Source organism: Homo sapiens, chromosome 3 (assembly GCF_000001405.40).
Source record: "Homo sapiens chromosome 3, GRCh38.p14 Primary Assembly".
NCBI lineage: Eukaryota > Metazoa > Chordata > Mammalia > Primates > Hominidae > Homo > Homo sapiens.
In genome coordinates this window covers 31,205,815-31,216,261 of record NC_000003.12, presented here as the reverse complement: position 1 = coordinate 31,216,261, position 10,447 = coordinate 31,205,815, and the positions used below count along the sequence as shown (strand labels likewise).

The window sequence follows — 10,447 nt, the reverse complement described above, 5'->3', positions numbered from 1 at the left end:
TAAATGAGAGGTATTTATAAACATATACACATACACTTACATCCACAAAGACAAATTGCACCCCTCTCTGCTTTGCTATTTCTGGTGCTAACCTTCATTTATAATGCCATATTTATGTAATTACAGTGCTGCAGCGGTGGATCATGATTTCAAAATACAATCATAATCACCATCAGAAGAAATGCGAGAGAAGATGAAAAACAAATGCAAAGCAATTAAAAAAGGATGAGTTTTCCTACTGAATGAGTGAATGTGTTTTCCCATTGCCTCCTCCTACACTTGGGCCTTGGGATGCTCTGCCCCTAGCCATGTGTATGTGTGTGGGGGTGTGCATGCACGTGTGTGTGTGCGTGTGTGTGTGCTTACATTTTTGCCCTTATTATGAATCTGGGCCTGGGATTAGAGCATGAATACTCACTGAAGTGGCTTATTACTTGGAGAATACCATCCTTCTGCTTGATTGGATTTTTCTGTTTAAGCATCTATGGTTTTAGTGGTCAGAGGGTCCTGGCCACAAAGTTTATTTTATGACCCATGTACCACCCTTCACATCTCCTCTTATAAGGACACTTTTAGTACATGACTTCCACAGTAGTGCAGTAGTATTTTTTTAAGTTTTTCTATGCTTGAAAAATAATTTTCCACTTCCAGAATTTACCTGCCCCTCCATCCTTGCTTTCCCAATCCCTGCTCCTTCCATTATCCTTTTGCAACACCCCTCCACCTCCATCACTGACCGAGATGCCTGAAAATTCAATAACATCCTATTATCTCTGCTGGGCAACTTGCCAGCTAGAAGCTCAGAGGACTGGTCACTTTGTTTTGGGGACACTGCCTTTCTTGCTTGTTGCATTCTTGCAAACCTGTGGAAACACTGAATCCCTTTGCACTGCCTGGAAAGTCATTCTTTGTATTGATTCTTTTTTCTTTTTTCCATTTCTGGCTTGGGGTACAATGAAGGCACAATATATTTCGCCAAATCTTAAAACCTTAAAGCAATTTGTGCATCCAATTTTGGGGCTGCCTTTTTCTTCCAGAAAGTTCCCTGAGGCTATCTCATATAAAATCTTACTTTGAATAACATATTTGGACACATTGATGAAAACATTCCTTTAGTGCATTGCCAGTTGCCAGATTGGAGAAAAAGACTTCAGGAGAAAAGGAGGGAATATTTTAAATTTGCTTTTGACTGTGGCTTCAAGGAGTAATAATCACCCATTACTTTGGATCAGAATCTTCCAATGACTCAAGAGCACATATTTTTATCATTTGCTTTCTGTACTCTCATCCTCTTTATCCCATGTTACTCTGTTCCTGTGAGAGTTGGGGGGCAAGGAAAAAATGTAAGGAAGGGGTAGAGGTGAGAGAATTTAAATGGGAAGTCTGATTCCTTTTTATTTTTTCATAAAGTGCCACACATGCAAGTCCATGAGTATCTCAACAAATCTGTCCCCCACATCCAATGCATCTTTTGTACTGACAAGGAGAGGGGGTTGGAAATGTCATCTGTAGCCAGCTTATATCCTGTCAGTGTTAAGGTTTTATTCTTGTGACTTTATAGTTCTCAAACTCTTTTTAAGGGTCACTGGAGGGTGATCTTTTGTTTAAGAGATGGGTTAGGGGAGGGAGTGGGTTTGTGTGTGCCTCTTGGTCTATAATAATTATGGCTGACATCGAACTTAGAAAATAGGTTAATTTCAAGAAATTCTTTTAATTTCTTAATTAAATAAGAAACAACAACCATTAGTTTATTTTAAAATAAACGTTAACGATTAAATACGAATTTTTAATGTAGATCCCTTTTACTGATTTAGGGCAAAGAGACCTTCTTTCACTAGGAGTTGTTTCCTCTAACTCAGTTCACCTCCTATTGTATCTCATCTCTGGCTTCTGAAATCTTACTCCTATTTTAATGGCTGGCTCAGGATTTCCTGTCTACTGTTTCTTCCATCGCTGATAGAGTTTCCCTTCATCTGCAGCGACCACACATACTCTAATTAACTGCCCAGGATTGCTATGTTAGAGGAATGGGGTGGAATCTAGCAAAGTGTAGCAAATTATTTTTATCTCCTACTCCCTGTTAAGCAGCAGTTGTTATTCTATTATCTGTGTTTTGAATCTAGCTGTTTGATCCTCAAAGTCTAAAAGTAGCTTCTGTGCAGTTTTATGGTGGTATGGCTGTTACTTGCTGCTATAAATTCCTCTGGTTGAGCCACATCCGCTTGCCACATCCTGAAAATACACTCAACTATATTTTCCCATGCACACCTATATATTGTGGCGGCCTGTAGTGACATTGCTTTTTTTTTTTTTTTTTTTTTTTTGAGATGGAGTTTCGCTCTTGTCACCCATGCTGGAGTGCAGTGGCATGATCTCGGCTCACTGCAACCTCAGCCTCTCAGGTTCAAGCTATTCTCCTGCCTCAGCCTCCTGAGTAGTTGGGATTACAGGTGTGCCACCACGCCTGTCTATTATTTTTGTATTTTTGGTAGAGATGGGGTTTTGCCATGTTGGCCAGGCTGGTCTTGAACTCCTGACCTCAGGTGATCCACCTGCCTCGGCCTCCCAAAGTGCTGGGTTTACAGGCGTGAGTCACTGCACCTGGCCAACATTACCTCTATACACATTTATTTTTCCCTTCCTCACAAACCCGCCAGTTCTGAATCAACAGCAAGTACAACATTGCCATTTCTCGCACACCATGCTGACCTTGTTGTTTCTTATTTAGCTAATGATGTGTTACAGTTGGCATTTCACTGGGAGGTTTGCAAGAGTCAGTCTCTCTTTTTCTAGTGCTACAATTAGATTCAACAAGAGAGAAGAGTGCTGTGATGGGAAAACTTTACATTCTCAGACATTATTTCCATCTGGGCATTTTGAAAAGATGAAGAGCAGGCTTGTCATTATGTCTCCATCTGATAATGTGGTTAATGTATCCTTCATAAAGCTCAGCTTAAATAGGGAAAAACAAGGGAATTGCAATGGTGCATTTCCATGACTTCTGATGGCAACACTCTAATTCTTCTGCCTTGTTGTCTTTAAGCAAAGAAGGGAGGAGATGGGAAGAGGAAAAAGAGATAATGTAAAAGGTAGGCAAAGGGAATGGCTTGGATGTGCTCATACCTGAGGCAGGAACAGGTTGAGGTTAGTACAGTGCTATCGAGTTTCTTATGTTACCTTCCTTCTGCTCTTGCTATTGACTTTGCTTTCTCCTAATTCTGGCTTGCTCGTGATTCCTCATGGCTTCTAAAGGTATTTCATGGCCTTCTTTGATGTACACTGTCATCGTCTTCTCTTACTCATTTCCTGTTTCAAATATCTGAGGAAGAGAATCTGACTGGCATAACTTTTTTTTTTTTTTTTTGACAAAGTCTTGCTCTGTCACCAGGCTGGATTGCAGTGGCAAGATCTTAGCTCACTCCAACCTCCGCCTCTTGGGTTCAAGCGATTCTCGTGCCTCAGCTTCCCAAGTAGTTGGGATTACAGGCACATGCCACCACACCCAGGTCATTTTTATATTTTCAGTAGAGACGGGGTTTCACCGTGTTGGCCAGGATGATCTCATCTCCTGACCTCATGATCCGCCCGCCTAGGCCTCCCAAAGTGCTGGGATTACAGGCATGAGCCACAGCACCCGGCCATAACTTGTCTTTTTACCTGTGGCCACTCCAGAGGTCATGGAGAGGCTATGGTTTGGCTGCTCTTGCTTTAGATTTGCACCCCTGACTGAGACCAGAATGGCCAGGCTGCATGGTATAAAACATATCCTCCTGGGGCTACATGTTCTGCAGAGGCTGTGGGTAGGCACATTCTGGGGTATGGTAGGTGGCAGCCATTATCACCTCAGGTTCTCCAACACAGCAGACACAAGCTATTCATGCTTGTAATTAATTTTGTACCCTACATGAACATAAGGCAAAAGAGCCCACAAACAAAGGGATCTAGCAAATGGCAATTGTAGGATGCTCGTTGTTGATACATTTGGTTCAAAACGAAAGGCCTCTGTGTTAAAATCCACAGCAGGAAACAACAACAACTACAAACAAAAAATCCTCAAGAGTGGTTTTACTAATGAAAACATAGATAAACAATCATTTATGCCCTCAGAGAATGAATAAAAGATCAAAGTTGGAATAACAGAACACAGAGACTTTTTTTCCCCTTTTTCTGCTTCAGCAAAAATCACCCAAGGACTGAAAAGTTCACTATTCTATTGCTTCTTGTATATGAATGCAAATGTATATAGGCCAAAATTCAGGTGGGGTTTTTTCCTGCCCCTTGAGATCTACGTAAATTTGCCTTTAACTCTCAAATTCCATGGTCCACAGAGCTTTACCTCCAAGATTTCTGCTACTTTCTAGAATGGGAATGCCAGTAGATGAGTCAGTGTGTCCTGTTGGCTTTCTATACCACTTGGGTTCAGCTACCTCGAGTGTGCCTTTGTTCTGTAATTTGTCCATTCTAGTAGGAAACTGCCATTTTGCGGAGGGTTTCGCCCTCTCCCACAGTCCTGTTTCTCACCTGTCTCTTCCAGGTTTCTCTAGATGGCTAAAGGTCTTCCATTTCTATTTCTTCTCTTTTGCAGAGCAACTCAACTCTCCCTCCAGATTTATTCTCCTTAGTTTTAACTCCTTAGCCCTCAAAAAACCTAAACAGAATTGAGGGACTTCCATTCAGTCTCTATGCTTATAAGGAGGCAGTAGGCATTATATAGTAACTCGCACATAGATAGCAAATAAGCTATATAGTACTTTATAAAAGCCCCCACCAAAATGTGAGATTAGAACCATTATCTCACTGCTGTCAATGAGAAGACTTGAGTACTGAAGTTAAGTGAAGAACTTGGGATCACTACGTAACTAGTGTGGCAGGTTAAATGCCAATGTGAAAGTTACGTTAGGTTCCAGTAGATTCAAGGAATGCCATAGGTTTCATATACTTGTATTTCAACAAGACTTTGTATCAATTTGTCAACACATCTTTGGTGGAACTAGTGGATCTATGTTTCTGGACAATTGGGTGGATCTGTTTCTGGCTGAACGGCCATCACCAGAAAGTGCTTATTAGTGAATTACTATCAAATGAGAAAAAGTTAGAATGGATTTTTGGCACTTTGTGGCATCCGAGTACTCATGACCTCTCGTGACAGTGCCCTGAATTCATCTGGGGCAGGAAGTGCAGGTGGAATCCTTCTATTACAGCTGCTAAGGCATCTCATTGGCCAGATCCTTCTTCTTACTGCCCTGGTACAGCCAGGAGTCAGTCATGAGACCTGAGCTCAGCAAAGAAGACCTTTCTCTGGGCTCTGCAAATCTTGAACAGAGTGACACAGACAAAGAGATGATGATTAGAGCTTATTTATTCCAGAGCCAGCCTCTTAGGCTAGACTGTCTGATGTACCTGATTTTGGTTCTATCTGGTTATGTTGTTCCCAGGCATGGTTCCTTGGCTTTCTTTTGATTTCTTAGAATGTGTTTTTGTTAACTGTAATCAAAGGACCTAAATGAGAACAGATTTCTCTAGTGGTACGTCAAATTCTGTCCATGACTCTCTGTCTTGTCTGCCATTACTTTTCAATATCTGAGATTAAAATGTGGATTATATCAGGGACTGGAATGATTACAACAAATTGGAATGATGGATAAAAACAGGCAAAATATGACTAATAAAGATGATTGCAGATTGGCATTTTAGATGCTAAAATCTAACTGCACGCGCTGAGTTAGGTAAGTGGTAGAAGCTTATGTTAACTGCAATAATAGCAATAACTCCCGTTTAAGGTATACAGTGCAACAAATCCCACAGATTGGGAAATTGAGGCTGGAGATGACTCAGCTAACATCTGGTGGTAGTAGAATTCAAACACAAGTTCTGGGTTTTTCCCTAAGGCTATAGGTAGTAGCCAAAGCTGCAATCATAGAAGATTTAGCCAGAGACCAGAACCAGCAAGGGCAGTTCTGGGGTCCAAAGGCTGTGGTGAACTCAGGTATGAGCCAGGGGGCGTTGTAATCCAGGGGCTGAGGCAAAGCAACCTGCAGGGGAAAATTAAAATCAAAGTGGTGTTTTATGTACTGCCAAATACGACACAGCAAATATGTAAATTCTCCCTGAATCCATCTGTAAGTTTAATGCAAATCTTATCAAAATCCCAGTATGATTTTTCCTTTTTCAATTTTTAAAATTATGGTAAGATACACATAGCATAAAATTTACCATCCTAATATTTTATATATACACTTAAATGGTATTAAATACACTCATAATGTGCAACCATCACCACCATCCATCTCCATAGCTCCTTTCATTCACCACCATCCATCTCCATAGCTCCTTTCATTTTGTAGAACTGAAACTCTATACCTATTAAAAATAACTTCCTCACTGGGGCCTGTTGGGGAATGGGGGGCTAGGGGAGGGATAACATTAGGAGAACCACTTAGTGTAAGTGACCGGTTGATGGGTGCAGCAAACCACCAGGGCACATGTATACCTATGCAACAAAACTGCATGTTCTGCCCATGTAACACAGAACTTAAAGTATAAAAACAAAAACAAAACTTCCTATTCTTGCTCTTCCCCAGTCCCTGGCAATCATCATTCTACTTTCTGTTTCTATGAGTTTGACAACTCTAAGTACCTCATGTAAATGGGAGCATATAGTATCTGTCTTTTTGTGATTGGCTTGCTTCACTTAGCATAATATCCTTACGGTTCATCCATGTTGTAGGTTCATCCTTTTTATGGTTGAATAATATTCCATTACATGTATACACCACATTTTGCTTATTCATTCATTGGTTGGTGAAAACTGGATTGCTTCCACATTTAGCTGCATGGACATGGATGTTCAAATATCTACTGGAGACTCTGCTTTAAATTCTTTTGGGTACATACCCAAAAGTGGAATTGCTGGGCCATATGGTAATACTATTTTTTTTGTTTTTGTTTTTGTTTTTGAGGAACTGCTGTAATCTTTTCCATAGGGACTGTATCATTTTATAGTCCCACCACCAGTGCATAAGGGTTCCAATTTCTCCACTCTGACAACACTTATTATTTTCTGTTTTTTTGAGAGTAGCCATCCTAATGGATGTGAGGTGAGATTTTATTATATTTGCATTTCTCTAATGATTAGTGACGTTGAGCATCTTTTAAATATTTATTGGTTATTTGTATAATAGTCTTTGGAGAAATATCCACTGATGTCTTTTTCCTATTTTAAAAATTGAGGGTTTTTTATGGTTGTGGCTGATTTGGGGAATTCTGTATATGTTTTGAATATTAATCCCTTATCGGATATATGATTTGTAAGTATTTTTTCTCATTCTGTGAGTTGCCTTTTTTTTTTTTTACCTTGTTGATAGTGTCTTTCAATGCACAATAAAAAGATATGTTTAATAGACTCCAGTTTGTTTATTTTTTCTTTTGTTGCCTGTCTCTTGGATGTCATATCCAAGAAGTCATTGCTAAATCAAATGTCATAAAACTTTGCTCTATGCTTTCTTCTAAAGGTTTTATAGATTTAGGTCCTACCTAAGGTATTTGATTCATTTTGAATTAATTTTTGTATATACTGTTAGGAAAGGTTGGAACTTCATTCTTTTGCTTGTGGATATCTAGCTCAGCATAGTTTTTAATAAACATAGGCAAGTTTATTTTAAAATTTACATGGAAATGCACAGCACCTAGAAAGCTGAAATATTTTTTAAAAGAATAACTAATGGGAGAAAATTACCTCATATTAATGCTTACTATGTAGCTATAGTAATCAAGACAAATGTAGTGTTTGTGGAGGGACAGACAGGTAGATCAAGGGAACAGAATAGAGAACACAGATATAGACCCTTATAGATGACTGATTTTTTGACTATATTAGTCTATTCTCACACTGCTAATACAGACATACCCAAGACTGGGTAATTTATAAAGAAAAAGAGGTTTAATGAACTCACAGTTCCACATGGCTGGGGAGGCCTCACAGTCATGGCAGAAGGCAAAGGAGGAGCAAAGGCGTGTCTTACATGGTGGCAGGCAAGGGAGCATATGCAAGGGAACTGCCCTTTATAAAACCATCAGATCTTGTGAGACTTATTCACTATCACGAGAACAGTGTGGGAAAAACCTGCCCCATGATTCAACTGCCTCCCACCGGGTCCCTCCAGTGACATGTGGGTATTACGGGAACTACAATTCAAGATGAGATTTGGGTGGGGACACAGCCAAACCATAGCATCAACAAAGGTGCAATAACAATTCAGTGGGGGAAAAATGGTGTTTTCAACAAGAGGTGTTGGAGCAATTGGACATTCATGGGCTAACAATAGGAAAAAAAGAACCTCAATCTAAACCTCATACCTTATACAAAAATTAACTCAAAGTGGACCATAGGTTTACATGTAACATGTAAAACTATAAAACTTCTAGAAAAAAAAAAGAAGAAACTCTTGAAAACCTAAGGCTAGCAAAGCATTCTTAGACCAGTTAGCAAAAACATGATTCATTAAAGAAAAAAGTGATAAAAAGAGCTTCACCAAAACTAAAAACTTTTGCTCTGCAAAGACTCTGTTAGGGAGATGAAAAAACAAGCTATAGACTGGGAGAAAATATTTGCAACCCACATAGTTGACAAAAGACATACCTAGAACATATAAAGAGCTCTTAAAACTCAACAATAAAAATTGAACAAAGAATCCAATTTGATAATGGGAAAAATGCATGAACATATATTTCACTAACAAGAATATACAGATGGGAAATAAGCATGTGAAAAAGACGTTCAGCATTGTTACACATCCAGGAAATGCAATGCAAATTAAATTCACAATAAGATATAGCTACACATTTATTAGGGAAAGGCGTAGAGAAACTCATGTATTGCTGTGATAATGTAAAATGGTATAGTCACTCTAGAAAATTATTTGGCATCTTCTTATAAAACTAATATAGACCTAACATACAACCCAGAAATTACACTTTTGGACATTTATCCCAGACAAATGCAAAGTTATAATCATACACAAATCTACATTAATGTTCATAGCAGCTTTATTTGATACAGCTCAAGGCTGGAAACAATCCAAACATGTGTCAGTGGGTAATTGGTTGAACAAATTATAGCACATCTATACCATGGAATATTGCTAAGCAATAAAAAGGACCAAAGTGCTGATACATGCAACAACTTGCATAGATCGCAAATGAATTATGTGGAGTTGAAAAAGCTAATCTCAAAGGTTATACTATGTGATTTCCTTTATATAACCTTCTTATAATGACAACAATTATACAGCTGGAGAACCAGATTCATGGTTGCCATAGAACTGCTTTGTATCTTGACTGTGGTGGGCACACAAATCTACAGATGTGATAGCATTGCATAGAACTAAATACACACACATACACACACAATGAGTACATATACAACTGGTGAAATCTAAGTAAGTCTGGTGAATTAAATCAATGTAAATGTCCTGGTTGTAATATTGTACTATAGTTATATAAGAAGTTATCACTGGGGAAAACTGGGTTAAGGGTGCACAGGATATCTCTTTATTATTTCTTACAAATACCTATGTATCTACAATTATTCAAAATAAACAATTTTTAAAAAATCAAATGAGTAATCTTTGTGATTCACCAGAAGCTGGTGTAAAGCCGAATGTCACCTATTCCCCAGGGTAGACCAAAGCCAGTTCTACCTGCCTCTACGGCCCACACTCTCCCCAGGTGAAGCTGCCATGAGCTGTCCTTCACTTCCTCCATCCTAAGGCCTGGAAATCATAGTATCTGGCACATGATGGTCACTAAAAGCTTCGCAAATGAAGGAGATCTTTTTCTGATGTCCACTTTCTACAGAAGTCTCTCCATTAGCTGGGTTTACTTTGTTACAATTGTTTTTCACTGCTACTATTTTTCACTATTATTCTAACAGTTTTACATGAGTAAGTGACAAAGCCAGATCACAAAGGGGGAGTGATATGGTTTGGCTGTGTCCCCACCCAAATCTCATCTTGAATTATAGTTCCCATAATCCCCATGTGTCATGGGAGGGACCCGGTGGGAGGTAATTAAATCATGGGGGTGGTTACCCTCATCTGGTTCTCATGATAGTGAGTGAGATCTGATGGTTTTATAAGGCACTTTTCTCTCTTTGCTCAGCACTTCTCCTTCCTGCCGCCATGTGAAGAAAGATGTGCTTGCTTCCCCTTCTGCTATGATCATAAGTTTCTTGAGGCCTCCCCAGCCCTGCAGAACAGTGAGTCAATTAAACCTCTTTCCTTTATAAATTACCCAGTCTCGGGCAGTTCTTTATAGCATTGTAAGAAAGGACTAATACAGGGAGAAAAGGCAACGCAACTCCCCAATGAATGAACAGCTGAATTCTTAACTTTTAGCTAATTGTCTAAGACCCCAAACTCAAAGTTGACAGATATATGCAGGCAAGAAC

At 39.3% G+C, this 10,447-nt stretch overlaps 1 annotated feature.

Annotated features, from left to right (window-relative positions):
- Positions 2,915-4,114: an enhancer, noted in NCBI's record as "MED14-independent group 3 enhancer chr3:31253640-31254839 (GRCh37/hg19 assembly coordinates)". NCBI's record gives its function as "activates an origin of replication core promoter dependent on BRD2, BRD4, P300/CBP and CDK7 cofactors, and independent of MED14, by STARR-seq in HCT116 cells {active_cell/tissue: HCT116}" and the evidence as "EXISTENCE:reporter gene assay evidence [ECO:0000049][PMID:35650434]".